Below are 18,304 nucleotides of genomic sequence, written 5' to 3' on the forward strand. Positions count from 1 at the left end.
TAACACATAATGCTTTGGGTATTAACTCAGGTGTTAAAAAGAGCTATTTTATTTTTCAAGGAAGGAATAAGCACATCTGGCAGAAGAAAACTGCTAAGAGAAATCCTGAGGTGGGGGGCTCCTTAGCATGAAGGTACAATGAATAGGGATAACTGAAGTGAAGGCAAAGTCAATATTAAGAGAGGAACAAGATGGGAAGTGTAAAAGCACTGAGAATTCATGCAGACGTACACTGCAGTCAGGCTGCCATTTCATATGCTACATCATACAGCAACTTTATCAATGCAACCTAGTGGAGCTGACATGAGGAAATGTTCCACAGAAAAGTTGAACAAAAGTTGTTAGAAGACAACTGAAGGCCGGGTGCGGTGGCTCATGCCTGTAATCCCAGCACTTCAGGAGGCCAAGGCAGATGGATCACGAAGTCAGGAGTTCAAGACCAGCCTGGCCAAGATAGTGAAACCCCGCCTCTACTAAAAATACAGGCGTGGTGGCACCTGCCTGTAATCCCAGCTACTTGGGAGGCTGAGGGAGAGAACTGCTTAAACCGAGGAGGCAGAGGTTGCAGTGAGCCGAGATCGCACCAATGCACTCCAGCCTGGGCGACAGAGCGAGAATCCATCTCTAAAAAACAAACAAACAAACAAAAAAAGAAGACAACTGAGACCACAGGGGTTGCAGAGAGGAGCTCCTACATTATTAATCCCAGAGGAGTAAAATGCATGCAGTGTAACGTAAGTCTGGGGTGGAAACACTGGTCTACAAGTTCATTCAGTAGCTAAGAGTATGTACGTCAGTACTGTGGGCATTCAAATAAGATAATGTCCTCTCCAGAAAACACTGAACAGTTCTAGGGTGAAGCCGACTAAAGAAGAATCTACTTTATAGCTGATAAGACCTAGTGCCCAGAATCTGTTCCAAAACATCCTTCCTTAAATGTCTTTGCATTTTGTTTTATAAGCTGCTCCTGTCACTTTGGTTTCCTCTGTCAAAAAATATTCCCACAGCAAGGAAAAAGAATTAAGTACATTTTGTATTATTTGTGAAAGTTAAAAACTATAAGCAATGTCATGAATATAAATAATTTCAAACGGCATGTTAGATGACGTTTATGATGTAATACGGGGGGGCGGCAAATATAAAAACAGGAGACAGATATAGATAGATAGACAGATAGACAGACAGACAGACAGACAGACAAACATCAGCAGAATCCCAGATATGTATCAGCCGAATCCTAATACTGGGAGGGAAAGTGCTTGCTCTTGCAACCTACCAGAAAGAATAAATATAGCAAAATACATGTATTTCACTCGTTGGTTTCATTTCTATTACTTTTCTATTCAGTGGAAGAAGGTACCTTTTTAAATTCCCAGTTGCTCTGGAGATACATCCCAGTTCCTTTAAACCTAATACTTTGGGCATCCAGCCCCTGCTGACCCCCGGTGACCAGGCCGCACCTCCTCTTCATTCTATCTCTAGCTTCTTCATCCAGTCAGCAATAGCAATGCTTTTTTTTTTTTTTTTTTTTTTTACAGGAATGGAACAGCATGGAGGCAATGACTTCTTTATCCTTTCTACTTGCTGCCCACCCACCCTCTCAATTCCACATGGATTTGAATACTCTTTTCCCCACATCAGTGCCACTTCTGTTCACACCGATTAGACCTTTCTGCAGGATCAGCACTGCTTCTACTTCAAGAAATAAAAGCTTTGGCAGTGTTCACACAAGAAGGGGGCTGCTGGCCCAGGCTGCATAAATCTGGAAATTTTGTGAGAACTGACGGGTGAGTGAAACAAACCCTGGAAAGCACCTTCGAGGCAAAAAGTAAATCACTTATAAAGAACTTGTATAAACTATAAGAACAATACTGAGATCCCAACAGACACTGAGGCAAACTTCAGAGAATTCTTCTTCGAAGAAGAAATATAAATTGACTTTTTAAAAAACAAAAAATGTCAACTTCACTACTAATCAAAGAAACATGAAGTACAATGAAATGCCATTGGTTACTATCTATTACTATGCCATATATTTTTTAAAAGAATATCCCTCAGTATTTGGAGGCAAAAGGAATGCTCTCATAAGCTACTGGTAACTTTATACATATAATCTAGTAATTACACTTTTAGTAATCCATATTAAAGAACTACATTACAAGGCTCATTGCTAGTTTAGATTTTTTTTTTTTTCTTTTTTTGAGACAGGGTCTTGCTCAGTCACTCAGGCTGGAGTGGAGTGGTGCAATCACAATCACAGCTCACTGTAGCCTCCAACTCCTGGGCTCAAGTGATCTTCCCACCTCAGCCTCCGAAGTAACTGGGACTACAGGCATGTACCACCACACAAAGCTAATTTTTTATTTTTTGCAGAGATAGTGTCTTCCTATGTTGCTCAGGCTGGTCTTGAACTCCTGGCTTTAACTGATCCTCCCACCTCAGCGTCCCAATGTGCTTGGATTACAGGTGTGAACTACCATGACTGACCCTAGATGTTTATCTTTAATAGAAAAAAAAATAGGTTAAAAAAAGTCATGCCCAATATTAGGGGAACAATTAAGCAAGAAGCCCTCCCTTACTCCACCAATCACCAATCAGATTTAATACCTTCCTTTGTGGGTGGTTAGTGCTTACATCTTAGCATTTCGACTGAGTTGTACTATACATAGTCATACCCAAGTCTGTTTCCCTTGCTGGACTGTAAACTCTCTGAGTATAAATTTGAGATCCTATTCAGATCTGTATTATATCCCTTACCATCTTTTGGGTCTTTTAGGCCCCTCCTCCCTACCCTCAGCATCCAGCACAATATTTCACTAACAGCAGGATATGAAAAAATCTTAAGGTGAACCACTATAAAAAGCAATTAATCAATGACTTTAGAGATAAAATAATTTTATATAGAAAAAGACATATAAACACTTTAGAGGTATGAACAAACACTAAATTTAGAACTGCCTTAATTCAACCATAATTTAGAATAAGCTCAAATTCCATGAGAATGCAGGAATGAGTATTAGATCAAAGGAGTCAGAGTAAGCAGTCATGTCCCTTTACGTTTTCTCCGTCTTCCTGCCTCAAACATACATGAGAAGCCTAGAGATGCAACGGGTATCTTGAAACCGTGAATCAAGCCACAAGTTTATGACTGTAGCACCAAAGGCAAAAGCCTGATCCTCAATTATGTCAATGAGCCAACTGCCTCACTCTGGACTTGTGACGTGAGGAGAAAGAAATCCCACGTGTTAAACCCACTGTTAATGATGTTTTCTGTTATTGTGACTTACAGAATTTTCTGACAGATACTAACAGAATTTCTCATAGTTAGTAAAAGGGTTTTCCTTTACTTGTTCTGACTTGTACCCATCTACTTGGTTACAGTGACTACACCGTAAGTGGACACTTCAATCAAGAAAGGCCTATCAGAGTCTTCCTCTAGACTAACCTATGGTCTGAGGGAAAAAAAAATTCTTTCTTTCCATTAAAAGCTATGGCTGCTGGCAGCCATTTTGCTTGTCCCTTAAGAAGAGGCCATCTGTTGAACAGAGACCACTGGATTCAAAGATGGAGAGACATTATCTGAGCTCCCAGATCCAGCTCAGCCTAAGCCCTAACCAGACTTGCCAATTATTACACACATTAACTTGGTTTTTTTGCTTAAGGTTACTGAAATCATATTTCCAACACCTGCATCCAAGAGTCCTATATACCACAAGGGGGGTAAACACACAAATAATTATTTTAGTAACACTCACCAATAATTATTTGAGTTGAAAAAAATGCTGTTCCATAATGTAGACCCACATAATTCATACAAATGTTAACCCACATGATTCAAGTTACATTTGTCATTCTCCAACTGCCCACCATTTCCTTTCATAATGCCCACACTATAACTACACTGAATTGCTTGTTCTTTCCTACACACTCTTCACATTTTTCTATTTATGTGATTTTAGCCTACCGTTCTCTTACATTAATACCCTCCCCTCTCAATCTCTAATTGTATTTCCTCTGAAACACTACAGTATTTTTATTTGTATGTCCCTTAGTAGTTCTGACCTTGCATTACAGTTATGCATGTTCATGTCTTATCTACCTAATTGAACTGAAATGTCAGTGAGATCAGGGCCCATATTTGATTTGTATATATCCCCACAGGTCAGTCTGTCCCCAAAATCCTTATTACTTCTATGAAACCTAGGCTATTTCACAATTGTCAATATCTCAGTAGCTACGTACCAGTAGCAATGCAGCAATATACTTAATTATCCTGGGTACCACAAAGGCCACATTAATATAAGTGAGAAGACTGGACAGGGTACAAATTACATTTAGGTAGGCATATATAGAACAGAACAAGTCCCAACTTTGTCTAATTTAAGAAATAAGTTTTACTTAGAGATACTGAGGTCTTACACATTTTTGCTTAGTCACAAGTCAAGCCTATTTTAGGCCTTGGTCCTTCTCTGTTAACTCTCAGGCATATCTATAATAAGAATTCCTACCTCCTCCTACCTACCCACCCATCCACCATTATTTTTCCAGGAGATATCCCCGAAGAGAAAGTCCACTCCTAGCAGTATCCTGACTCTAAGCCACACCCTCTATCTAGACTCAAAGTGTATACAGTTAATGCCTTCAGCTTCCCTAACTCTCCTATAATCTATTTCTCCCTAACTTATTCTTACCCCTTTGACTCTTATGCTTTGCCTTTCTTCTTTTCCTTAGTTCTACCCAACTAGTGGCTTATCTTTTATGTCTCACCATCACACAGAAACACAGACCTCAGAAAGACTACACAGATAGGAAAGCACAGTCAATAATAATAGCAGCCACCATTTATTGCATACCTATTACATGCTAGTCACAATGCCTGGTACTTTACAAAGTGTCTGTGATTCTCATGGCAATCCTCATACTAATTTTACAAATGAGGAACCTGATCCTGAAAGAGATAACTTGTCAAATATTAGCCAGTTAGGAAATATTACAGCTGAGCTGCCTAGTTCTAAAACTGACATTTCTTCTACTTTATCATAGTGCCAAAAACAAAATATTGACTCTATTTTCCCAGCTTTCACCCTTGTCCCACAACCCAGTAATCTACTGTCCACATAGTAGCAACCAGAGTGGAGTGATCCTTTGCTTAAATATTATTCTTTGCTCAAGTCCCTCCAGTGGTTCCTCCCTTGCTCAAGGAAAAGCCAAAGTCCTTATTATGGCCTAAGAACCCTGTGCTCTGTCCATCTGCACTCCTCCCCGTTACCTCTCTGGTTTCACTGTTTATCTCTCCCTTACTTACTCTAATCCAGCCACATTCAACCTGTTCACACCTCAGGGTTTTTGCATTTATTGTTCCTTCTACCTGTAGCACTCTCCCCACCTCACAATCTTCTTAGTTTATTCCCTCACTTACTCTAGGCCCCTGTTCAAATGTCATCTTCTCAAGGAGACCTTCCCTGATCACCTATTTTATATTGCTACCTCCTGAGACCTCGGTATTCCCTATTCCCCTCTCCCTCTGCTTTACTTTTTTCTCTAAAGTACTTATCACCACTTGAAATATTGTATATTTACTGTTTTCTTGTCTGCCTCCCACTACTAGAAAATAAGCTCCATGAGAACAGGGACTTATATTCTGTTAATTGTATATTCTGCTCACTGTATCTGTTATATAGTAGGTATACAATAAATACGTATTGAATGAGTAAATGGGGGCTTTTATTCTCCCTAGGTGTCTAACACAATTGGCCTTAGATACATTTTCCAGAAAGTAAATGCAAAGGCAACGTGCATTTGTTCTAGTCTAGATCAACGTAGTCAATCTTCTCCCCTCAAACATTACCTTTAAAGAGCATTCCCTCGGCCAGGTGCGGTGGCTCACGCCTGTAATCTCAGCACTTAGGGAGGCCGAGGTGGGCAGATCATGAGTCAGGAGATCGAGACCATCCTGGCTAACATGGTGAAACCCCATCTCTGCTAAAAATACAAAAAATTAGCCGAGCGTGGTAGCAGGCGCCTGTAGTCCCAGCTACTCGGGAGACTGAGACAGGAGAATGGCATGAACCTGGAGGCAAAGCTTGCAGGAGCCGAGATCGTGCCACTGCACTCCAGCCTGGGCGACAGAGCAAGACTCTGTCTCAAAAAATAAAAATAAAAAAAGAAACAAAAGCATTCCCTCTAATTTTTCATAGTTCTGAATAGACAACGTCATTGAGCAAAAAACTGAGTAGACTGAGCCAACTTAACCAGTGCGTAGTATTATAATCAAAACTTACAGCAAAGTTAGTCAGACATATATTTAATGATATGCATAATTGTTATTGTGCTGCACGGTAAGTAGGCATAAATAGTAGACACTTTATGTAAATGATTCTAATTGCTATTTCTTTTACACAGCCAAACCAAGCACGTCTAGGATCCGCTTCAGGGGAAGACAGGAAGGAGTGAAAAGCTAGATACTTAATACTGGGAGGTTACGTCCTCTCTTATTCCACCCCTTAAGCATTGGGCTAATGGTCTCCCAGCTTGGCTTATGTGTCTTCAAGAAAAGTAACTTGCCAGGCATGGTGGCCTAGGCCTATAATCCCAGCACTTTGGGAGGCCAACGCAGGAGAATCACTTGAGCCCAGGAGTTCAAGACCAGCCTAAGCAGCATAAAAAGACTCCATCTCTACAAAAAATAAAAAATTAGCCAGGCGTGATGGCATGCACCTGTGGTCCCAGCTACTCGGGAGGCTGAGGCAGAAGGATCACTTGAGCCTGGGAGGTTGAGGCTGCAGTGAGCCATGATTCCACCACTGCCCTCCAGCCTGGGCTACAGAGTAAGACCCTGTCTCAAAAAAAAAAAAAAAAAAAAAAAGGGAAAATTACTTCTTTCCTTCCACAGTAAAAAAAAAAAAAGGCTTCCTTTTACAAAAGATTTTAAAACTAGGTTGGGAGCCTGGCCTCTGTCTCCAGTCATATAAAGCTAAGAGGAACCAGCACAATCACTAACTTCTGTCTCTGGCAAGGAAGATGGGGCAGGCAAGCTGGTGGGGAAACCAAGTAAAGAGATCAAACGTACTGAGTACCTATTGTACACCAAGTACACTAGCAGGTGCTCTGCATAATTCCTCTACTTCCCCAACCCACCTATACCCCCAAGCTCTGTTCCCAGGAAAGTAGAGGAACATGCAGAGAGTAGAATGGTTCCAGTGAGGGCACCCTGCTCCCTCTCATAGGGCCTGAAAAATCAACAGAGAGCTCTCTTAGGAAGATTAAGACGAAGCTATTGTTTAGTGGCCATTTCCCTTGCTTCTTATCTTATCTAAACCCATAGGAGGGGAAAGGGCCCTCTACCTTGCTATGGGTTTATCCAGACCTAACCAGCCTGCAAAGCCAAGGCTAAGCCCACTCTTTCTGGGATCTCATCCTTATTCACTGCAGCTCTCCTTTCTCCCATTGTCAGGGACATTTACTTGGGTACACAATTATTCACTTGTGTCATCTTTTAATTAATTTCTTGGGGAAATGCTTATTTCACCATTGATAATGCAAGCTCCTTGAAGAGAGAAATCTTAAAACTTCTTTAGTAAGCTTCATAAGGCCTAGCACCATTTAAAAAAAAAAAAAGTGCAATGCCAGGCAAGGTGGCTCACACCTGTAATCCCAACACTTTAGGAGGCCAAGGCGGGATGCCTGCTTGGGCCCAGGAGTTCAAGACCAGCCTGGGCAACATGGTGAGACCCTTTCTCTACAAAAGAAAATATAAAAAACTAGCCAGGCGGGGTGGTGTGTGCCCATAGTCCCAGCTACTCATGAGGCTGAGGTTGGAGAATCACTGGAGCCCAGGAGGCAGAGGTTGCAATGAGCCGTAATTGTATCACTGTAATCCAGCCTGGGTGACAGAGTGAGATCCTGTCTCAAAAAAAAAAAAAAAAGAAAAAAAAAGAAAAGCTCCAAAATATCTGGATGAATTAAAGGTAAATATGAAGTAATAGGTGATAGAAAAGAAGCAAACTTCTGGCTCTAGGTAGACACATTGGCATTGAAAAGAAGGATGTAGTACAGTCATGTGCCACAAAAAGACATTTCAGCCAACAACGGACCATCTATATGATGGGGGTGCCATAAAATTATAATACCATATTTTTACTATACCTTTTCTGTGTTTCTATGTGTTTAGATACACAAATACCATTGTGTTACAAGTGACTACAGTGTTCGGTACAGTAACACACTGTACAGGTTTGTAGCCCAAGATCAATAGGCTATACCTTATAGCCTAGGTGTGTAGTAGACTACACCATCAAGGTTTGTGTAAGTATACTCACTCTATGATGTTTGCACAACAAAATCACTTAATGACACATTTCTCAGAACACATCCCCATCACTGAGCAACACGTGACTATATTCTAAATTTGTCTTCTAAACTAGTTTTTATAACAAATTTCCCTATGAAAAAGAAAGTGTGACTGTCATTCAGGATATAGCAGACATCTTCACATGGAGGTCTGGGGTATTCGCATCAAAGCTATAAAGACATATGATGCCGAGAATACAGGGACTTTCTATTATATCAAAAAGCACATTTACATCTATCATGTCTGAAAGTCTGCGATATCCAGAGTGTAAATCCAACTGAACAGCATTAGACGGGGTCACTGATCCTGGACACAGCAGAACAAGGAGAACGTGAAATGTCCTCCCTGAATGGATGATGATGATGATAAGACTCAGTCTATTTTGCCCACCTAAATGGCCTGGTTCTAGTGGCATAAGTCTGAAAATTGGTTTGAGAAAATTCAGGAACAAGCCTGAATCAATTTCAACCACAAGGATTTGGGGATGTGAGTTTGAGTTCTCTCACCACACTCCAGTAAGGAAGACCGGCTTAACAGCAATTATCTTGTAATTAAACGATATCTGACAGTTATAAATGCCAAAGCTTCCTATTTTAGCACCAACTAGTGGAATTCAGTAAGGGAGATGTCAGTAGAAGCTATCCTATACTACTCCTTACCTGATCATTCTGACCTGAAGGAGGTCATATATTCCTAGAGCTCAATGGGGCATTCAGTTTCTCAAACTCATTTATTTCTGGACCTTGATGTTGTATTGAATAAGTCATTGACTCAGATACCCAATACCAGCTGTGTAAGTGCTTAGTAAGACAGACAAGATAGTCTCTTTCCTTTGAAATGCTCAGCCCCAGAATTCTTTTAGTCACTGGAACACTCAGCTAAAAAAAAAACAATCAGACTAAAGAGCTTTGTCAAATTAAAACTGCATCTAGATTGCAGTCCTTCAGTGCTCTGCCACTAAAAGTGGTTGATAGCCAGATTTAGGTCCTCAACTTTCATTGTCTTTAGGGACTACAATGCTATGCATAGAGACCCTTAAAAAAAAATCTCTGACATAGTAATTTCACTACTGGGAATGGTAACAACAGCTAATAGTTCTTATGTATTTACTATGTGCTAGGTACCGTGTTAAGTACTTTCCTTAAAACACCTCATTTAACCTCACAAAAACTGAACAAGGTAATTATTATTATTTCACAGATGCATAAAGGGAAGCTTGGAAATTAGCACAGGGTCACACACTAGTAAGTCAGTAACAGAGGTGGGACTCAAGCTCAAACTGACTGGCCCTCCAGAGCCTACCTTACTGTCACCCTATATGGGAACATATCCTTGGGAAATAATCCCAAAATACAGCGACAATTTTAGGCTAAGAGGCTCAGTACTGTGTGATTATAACGCAGTAACTTGAAGCATTTCAAATATGTAATAATTAAGTAAATGACAGCAATCCAGGTTACCAAATATTATGTAGGCATTAGAAATATTTTTATAAATAACTTTGTGACATGATGAAATATTTACACTATAAACAGAAAAAGCAGAATATAAAATTTTACAGTCAGACCTCAACTACGTCAAAAATTTATCTGCACATTGAAAGAGCTAAATTTACTGCTAAATAAAAAAGACAAGTTGCAGAATAATATATAGAGAGAGCTATATATAGCATGGTCCCGTTTATGTAAATAGTGCCTAATTTTAAGTATTCAATAAATGTAAGCCATTATTATTACAATGAACATGTACTACTTTATAATCAGAAAAATCAACAAATTTATTAAATTAAGTGTTTATGTACTTCCTTATTTAATAACTAAAAAGTATATTACTTCAAGAAAAGTAAATAACATGTGCTTGCCTCTCTGGCAATCTTAATTTAAAAAACACTTCATAATTATACAATGTCACATTTAAATACACCTAAGTTACAGGAATCAAGTAGCACTGAGAAGAACACTGCAACACTTCCAATTACCTAGGTTTACATTCAGCATGTTAGACCACAGAGAGCTGTGCTGACATGACTATATTTAGAGTTTAAAATCATAAACAGGCCAAATCAGAGGTGGTATTTCAAGGGCTGTGATTAACAAGATTTTCTTGATCAATGTCTTATGCTGTCTGAAAAGTAGGGATTTTGGTACAGACTTTTTTTTTTTTGAGATGAAGTTTCACTCTTGTTGCCCAGGCTGGAGTGCAATGGCACGATCTCGGCTCATTACAACCTCTGCCTCCCGGGTTCAAGCAATTCTCCTGACTCAGCCTCCTGAGTAGCTGGGATTACAGGAGCCCGGCACCACGCCTGGTTAATTTTTTGTATTTTTAGTAGAGACAGGGTTTCACCACGTTGACCAGGCTGGTCTCGAACTCCTGACCTCAGGTGACCCACCCGCCTCAGCCTCCCAAAGGGATTACAGGCATGAACCACCGCGCCCAGCCTCTGGTACACTCTTAAAGAGATAAACCAACAGCTCCTCGGTAACTCAGCAGAGATATGATATGTAGGACATGAATGTAAATTAGTGATATTTTTCAGCTGCTGTCTCTAGGTAAAATTTCTATTAAAACAAACTACAAAAAGAGGGAAAAAACCTACAAGGGGTTTATTCTGAATGAAAAACGTGGAACTTAGTTCAAGTTCCACAGGAATCTCAATATTTGAATACATAAGTTGAAATGCAAGGTCCACTGCACTGCACTGATTTCTAGCCTACCTATGTAAAAGAATAAGTTAATACGTTAAAAGATGGGCCAGGTGCAGGCTGGGCGTGGTGGCTTACACCTGTAATCCCAACACTTTGGGAGGCCGAGGCAGGTGGATCACGAGGTCAGGAGATGGAGACCATCATGGCTAATATGGTGAAACCCCATCTCTACTAAAAAAAAAATACAAAAATTAGCTGGGCATGGTGGCAGGCACCTGTAGTCCCAGCTACTCGGGAGGCTGAGGCAGGAGAATGGTGTGAACCCAGGAGGCGGAGCTTTCAGTGAGCCAAGATCGCACCACTGCACTCCAGCCTGGGCGACAGAGCGAGACTCCGTCTTAAAAAAAAAAAAAAAAAAAAAAGGTTGGGCCAGGTGCAGTGGGTCACACCTGTAATCTCAGCACTTTGGGAGGCCAAGGCAGAAGAATCACTTGAGGTCATGAGTTCGAGAGCAGCCTGGCCAACATGGCGAAACCCTGTCTCTACTGAAAAAAAGTACAAAAAAAATTAGCCAGGCATGGTGGCGCAAGCCTGTAGTCCCAGCTACTTGGGAGGCTAAGGCGTGAGAATCGTTTGAACCTGGGAGGCGGAGGTTGCAGAAAGCCAAGATCGCGCCACTGCAATCCAGCATGGGTGACAGAGACTCTGGCTCAAAAAACAAACAGAACAAACAAACAAACAAAAACATTAAAAAATGAAAGACTTTTCCCTTCCCCTTCTCCTGAGGCATGTGTAACAGGACAAAATACCTGCTAAAAGTAATGATGAACATAAAAGTACTAGAAAAATAACTAGATAGAAAAAACCCAAGACCAACAACAACTTTAACTTTGAAGAACAGCTATGTTTTTTCCCTGCATTGTAATGTATAGGATTATAAAACCACCACACAAAAAAGTAAGAGTTTGGCTGTCCTGCTGGGTCTTTACCTGTATCTTCCTCCATCAGACCATTGCAGTACATGGCATGTCGTTCAATCTTTGTGGGTGGAAAGCATTGGTCACATAGCGGGCAGGATACCTGGTTACTGGATGAGAAGGTAGAAATAGCTACTTCCTTCTCAGCATCTTCCTTGTTACCAACCTGAAGAACATGACAAACAGCAATCATAACAGCTTTAGTTCATATCATTCCCTACAACGAACTGCAAGAGACTCCACCCCATATTTCACTTACTTTCAAAGAGACAACAACAGCTTATCAAATTCAGGAGTAAAGATTGAGAGATACTACTGATAGAGTCAATACTTATTCAGTGCCTTATACTGCCAACTATGTATTAAACACTCTACATGTATTACTCGTTTATCAGTAAGTTTATATATTACTCATTTATATGTAAGTATATTTATACTGACAACTATGTATTAAACACTCTATATGTATTACTCATTTAATCTTACAAAGTTATTAGCACACTCCTTTTGTACACGTGAGAAAAGTACTTGTGTAAAACAGTAAAGCAATTTGCAAAGTCACAGAACAAGTAAGTGGGAGTGTTGAGATTCAAATGAAGGACTAGAATCTGCCTCAAAAACTTGAGGGCACTGATCTCTACCACATTGTAAGGCACAATCCTCATTGCATCAGTGTGCTGTGCCTGCTGGGTTTCACATTTTGCATATCAACAGCACCTTAAGGACACATTTTCAATTTCACAAAAGGACTGTTATTACTGTAAGTGACTTTAAGACATAAGGAGTTAGAAAACAAAAGAGCTCTAAGCCAAAAACAGCACAACTAGGATTTAAGTTAAGAACATAAGTCTGTACTTAGACCCATAAGACCTAAGACCTGTGTTTTATTTGTGACTTTCTGGATTGAAAGAGGAAACTAAGATCTACATACTTAAGAAGCACCAAATAATTCATTAGTTAAAATAATCAATTCTGCCAAAGCCACTCTTAAACCTATCTCTTATTCCTCTGTTTTGTAGTCATCATTTCTCCTACAGTTGCTGGTATCTCTTAAAGGCAGTTTTATTTTACCTACACAGGTTGATCAGAGCCAAGAACTCTGCAGTGATTAATTCAACAGTGTGTGTGAGCACTGCAGCACTACTGCCTAACACTTGCTTCAAAGGACAGCATGTCCTATCCAATCAATGTGAAAACATCCTGCATAGCTACTGCTTACATTTAAAGCAAGGGACACCCGGGCTGTCATTACACCTTACTACATGAGGAAAACAAATAAAATATCTTCTGATACAAGAACAAAACACGACCAAAACTTCAATGCATAGAAAATGTGACTTCTGAGTCAACTGGGTCTTTTGGGGTAAGAGGTTGGGGCTATCTCTAAAACCTAATGCTTATAAGTGTGATCCAGCAGAGATGAAAACAGGCCATCTAAATACCAAGTCAAACTGCCAGAAAATGTCCTGTTTTCAACATCACCTGCCTTTTATTAAAAGACATACTCTAAAGGCGTAAAACCTAAAAGATGAGAAAGGAACTAACAGTGGTTGAGTTCTTACACTATGCAGGCTCCACCAGTCATTTTCCATATCCATCCCTCCCAACAAGCCGCTGGACAGAAGTATCACTAGTTCTGCTATTACAGAAGGGGAAACTGAGGCTTGGAAAAGCAAAGTAACTTGCTGGTCACAAAGTTACTAAGTGAACAAACCCAGGCCCACTTGGCATCAAAACCTTCAGTAATTCCATTCTATCATGTTGTGGCAGAAATAAAAAGCCTCTTCCCATTCCACCTTGTTTCTGGAAGCGGATCCTGCAAGGAATTAAGAAACTATCAGGTTCTATTTATTCTTCTTCTCTACAAGGTGGGGAAAGTCAAGTGGGTCTGGAAGTTCTAGGTGCTATGTTTTCCAAATTTAATCACTAAGCTCCTCACAAATCCAGGTTCCTCTGTTCATAAATCTTAAAACGAAAAGTTGTAAAGCTTAAAAATTGCAAAGCTGGCCAGGCACAGTGGCTCACATCTGTAATCCCAGCACTTTGGAGGCCAAGGCATGTAGGGAGACTCCCTGAAACTATTGCTATGGAATTAAAGATGAAATGCTCCTGATTATTGTAAATACAAAATTGCACGCAGGATCGTGTAAAGACAATGCCAGGTTGGACTGCTAGAACGAGTCAACAGCGCGTGATGTGCTTCCCCCTGTAGAGAGCCTATGAATGGACGTGCAGTCAGGGAGGTTTCACATCACCAAGATTCCTATCCCAGAAAAAGATGTTCATAGCTCTGGGAATGGAATGCGACCCTTGTGGGGAGCCTATAAACAGACGCATGGGTGGGCGCCTGTCCATATGGATAAGATAGGGCTATAAACGCCCTCATCTTGCCACAGCTCCGCTAGGCCTCTTTAGGGTTAAGCCATACTCCCTTCTGAGAATTTCTGGTCTAACCAGTTGTCTAGCTTCACGTCCTGTTTCCATGGATTGTTTGTAACCAGCTTTTGTTGCAATTGTTACTGCTGATTAATATCTTGCTAATCATAGGTTATGGAAAGATTGTGTTTCTGTTTTAAGGCTCTGTTAGAAATTACTGAGGAACATACTATATTGTAAATTCTTATCTCTGTATACTATACTTCTACATAGAAATGTACTGTACTTCTACATACAAATGTTATGTTAAAGAATTACTTCATCCCCATGTGACCATCTCACCTCATAATCAAATGGCCCTAAATCCCTCACTAACCTACCCCTGCCCTCACTAAACTTAATAATAAATGCTGGTATATTCAGTGCATTGTTGGCACCCCAGGACCAGAAGGCAGTGACCCGCCCCGGACCCAGCTTTCACTATCTTGTGTGTGTCTATTATTTCTCAACCTGCCGATCTGCCTAGGAACAAAGAGAGAGCCCCGATGCATTGCGGGCTGCTGGCCAGATCCCACAATAAAGGCAGGCAGATCACAGGAGGCCAGGAGTTCAAAACCACCCTGACCAACATAGCGAAACCCCATCTCTACTGAAAATACAAAAATTAGCTGGGCGTGGTGGCACGCACCTATAATCCCAGCTATTCAGGAGGCTGAGGCAGGAGAATCACTTAAACCTGGGAGGCGGAGGCTGCAGTGAGCCGAGATCCCGCCACTGCACTCCAGCCTGGGTGACAGAGCAAAACTCTGCCTCCAAAAAAAAAGGAAAGAAAGAAAAGAAAACAAAAGAAAAATCACCAGGTGCGATGGCTCACGCTTATAATCCCAGCACTTTGGGAGGCCAAGCCGAATGGATCACTTGAGGTCAAGAGTTTGAGACCAGCCTGGCTAATGTGGCAAAACCCTGTCTCTACTGAAAATACAAAAATTAGCCAGGGGTGGTGGCGCATGTCTGTAGTCCCAGCTACTTAGGTGGTTGAGGCAGGATAATCGCTTGAACCCAAGAGGTGGAGGTTCCAGTGAGCCGAGATCCTACCACTGCACTCCAGCCTAGGCAACAGAGGGAGACCCGGCCTCAAAAAAGAAAAGACAAATAGCAAAGCCATTTGAGCAGAAGGATGGCAGGGGGGTAAAGGGGATCAATATACCCTAAAATTTGCAAGTAGTCTTTAATTACTTAAAGTTGGTGGTGAATGGGCAGTTACTTGGCCTTCTAAAGTTCACTAAGCACAGAAATGTTACATGACGCAAATGTGTCACTGGTGCCCACATTGAGCACTATACTCCTTTGTATTCACCACAGCTCTATACAATGCAGAGAATGTACCTTTAACTATTAATGTATTCAAGAGGGAGTAGTCACTTGTCTTATTATGAATATAAGCCCACTTCCAACCACTGTTCATAGGCAACCCTGAAGGTTTCTGAACATTTTTATGTTAAAATAAGGTATTTTTTCCCAGCATCATTTAAAAAGTCTATTTAAGTATTAACTACTAGGGAAGAACCTCAAGGGGGAAAAAGGCAAGCAAAGCAGCTTTTATTAGGACCATGCAGTCAGGGATTTCTTTGCAGAGTTGCTTCTACTTCTTTTATATATATATATTTTTTAAGTTCTAGGGTACATGTGCACAATGTGCTGGTTTGTTACATATGTATACATGTGCCATGTTGGTGTGCTGCACCCATTAACTCATCATTTACATTAGGTGTATCTCCTAATGCTATCCCTCCCCGCTCGCCTTCTACTTCTTTTAAAATATTATACAACTATTTTTCGGCCAGGCACGGTGGCTCACGCCTGTAATCCCAGCACTTTGGGAGGCCAAGGCGGGTGGATCATGAGGTCAGGAGATGGAGACCATCCTGGCTAACACGGTGAAACCCCATCTCTACTAAAAACACAAAAAATTAGCCAGGCGTGGTGGTGGGCGCCTGTAATCCCAGCTACTCGGGAGGCTGAGGCAGGAGAATGATGTGAACCCGGGAGGTGGAGCTTGCAGAGCCGAGATTGCGCCACTGCACTCCAGCCTAGGCAACAGGGTGAGACTCCATCTCAAAAGAAAAAAAAAAAAATTATACAACTATTTTTCAAAAGAGGTACTTAGATACTGAATCTCGACATCTTAAAGGTTGTTGGTCCTTAACTTCAGACTTCAAAAAAAAAAAAATACACCTCACTTCAAGAGAAATGAACCCAGTGAAAACAAAAGCATGTCCTGCAAATCAAACTCTCCATCCCTCCCCCACCCAATTATGTGTAGCTTAGAAACCTCCTTGTTCTGGATCTTCCCCTTCTCACCACACGACTCTTAACATAGTTTACTGAAAAACTTAACTGACTAAACTAGCTCTGGAGGACTCTGAATAACTTCTATTAGCTCCTCTGAGAATAGGATATTTATCTAAGACTCCAACTAAGGGAAACTCTCAGGCAAGATATTCAGAAACACTATTTCCAAAGAAAGTTGACTATTGTCAGAAATCAAGAGGGACTACATACAGTTATGCCATGGGTACTTCCAAATACCTCAAATACTATTGAGCAATTCTCTGTCATTAGTAAACTAATAAACAGTAATATATTACAAAGCAGTAAAATAATATGACTTTCCACATGATACTTCTACTTGTGACAAATCTCTACCACGTTTTATATTCTTTATCTAATTTCACCTGCAAACCAACAGAGTAAAATAGGTATTTCTGCCTCCATTTTACATATGAAAAACTGAAATTCAGAAAAGCATTTCTCTTCTGTGCTTCCTTAATGCCCTAGGAATCCATCATTACCTTTGTCAGACCACATTATAATTATCTGTTTATATGTCTGTCTCCTCCCTTACCAGAACCCTCTGAGTGCAGGGACTGTTTTTCTTATTTATCTTTGTATCCCAAGAGTCTAAAACAATGACTGGCACAAAGTATACAAACTATAAATAGCTGCCTAGTGAATGAGTAAAGTGATTAATTTGCACAACATTCAAAACATGGTGGAGCTGGGATTTAAAGCCATGTCTTCTAATTGCAATGCTCGAGCTCCTTGTACTACACCATATCACCTTCCAGTAAACAAGAAATTTTAGGACAAATGACCTACACAGATCCCAATGGCAAGAGTCCACACCCTTTATACTATCTTTGTGCACATAAAATGTTCCATTCTGTCTAATAAGTGACTTGTAACTAGTACATGATTTAAAATCTACAGTATATCTAACTTCTTTTAATGGAAACTTTTTTTTAAAATATTTTCCTACTATATTTATTTATGTAGTCATTCTTTTAATGTGTAATCTTGGTCTAGTAGTTAAAACTCCAGTTTTCCCCTTTTTAAAAAAATTTATTTATTTATTTTTTTAAATTTTATTATTATTATACTTTAAGTTTTAGGGTACATGTGCACAATGTGCAGGTTTGTTACATATGTATACATGTGCCATGTTGGTGTGCTGCACCCTTTTAATGCAAACTTCTAAGACTGTTTAGAGACATCCACAGATATCAGCAAACAGCAACACCAAAAAGAGGACATTCAATGTGAGAAAGGCTATTATGATTCCATCTATTTGATATATAGTAGCACAGACGTGTACACCATAAATTCTAAACAGGGTTCATGCTCTTTGACCCAAAGAACAGTCTCGTCTGCAGTCATGGATGGGTATGAAATCAGCCTTAACTAAGGGCTTCTTCTGTATGTTAGGATGACTATGGTAATAATATTCTATTCCCTCATTCCCATTTAGAAGATTCTGTTTCTTCCTGAGAAAACAATCCAGAGGCCATTTTGACATTATGGAGCAGGATCTGTCGTCAGTCACTCTGCAGCAGGGAGTGTCATCATCTTTCCTACCACCACTGGCATTAGGGAATCTTGGTCAATTGTGACAG

At 40.4% G+C, this 18,304-nt stretch overlaps 1 protein-coding gene across 15 annotated transcripts in view, besides 2 other annotated features; it reads right to left on the bottom strand.

The window, feature by feature from the left end:
- The window catches only part of UIMC1 (ubiquitin interaction motif containing 1), a 117,598-nt gene that overhangs the window by 26,343 nt on the left and 72,951 nt on the right, over nucleotides 1-18,304 (bottom strand). For all 15 annotated transcript variants that reach the window (NR_146150.1, NR_146149.1, XM_017009577.2 and 12 more), the window contains one exon: nucleotides 11,988-12,141. Coding sequence is in view for 13 of the 15 variants with exons in the window: in XM_017009577.2 (XP_016865066.1) it covers nucleotides 11,988-12,141 (154 nt within the window). In the remaining 2 variants the exon portion in view is untranslated. The remainder of the gene's footprint in view (nucleotides 1-11,987; nucleotides 12,142-18,304) is intronic.
- Nucleotides 11,967-12,825: an enhancer, noted in NCBI's record as "OCT4-NANOG-H3K27ac hESC enhancer chr5:176370315-176371173 (GRCh37/hg19 assembly coordinates)". NCBI's record gives its function as "activates a minimal SCP1, AML or CMV promoter by ChIP-STARR-seq in naive and primed H9 embryonic stem cells {active_cell/tissue: H9 hESC(naive and primed)}" and the evidence as "EXISTENCE:reporter gene assay evidence [ECO:0000049][PMID:30033119]".
- Nucleotides 12,826-13,683: an enhancer, noted in NCBI's record as "OCT4-NANOG-H3K27ac hESC enhancer chr5:176371174-176372031 (GRCh37/hg19 assembly coordinates)". NCBI's record gives its function as "activates a minimal SCP1, AML or CMV promoter by ChIP-STARR-seq in naive and primed H9 embryonic stem cells {active_cell/tissue: H9 hESC(naive and primed)}" and the evidence as "EXISTENCE:reporter gene assay evidence [ECO:0000049][PMID:30033119]".

This window comes from Homo sapiens, chromosome 5 (assembly GCF_000001405.40).
Source record: "Homo sapiens chromosome 5, GRCh38.p14 Primary Assembly".
NCBI lineage: Eukaryota > Metazoa > Chordata > Mammalia > Primates > Hominidae > Homo > Homo sapiens.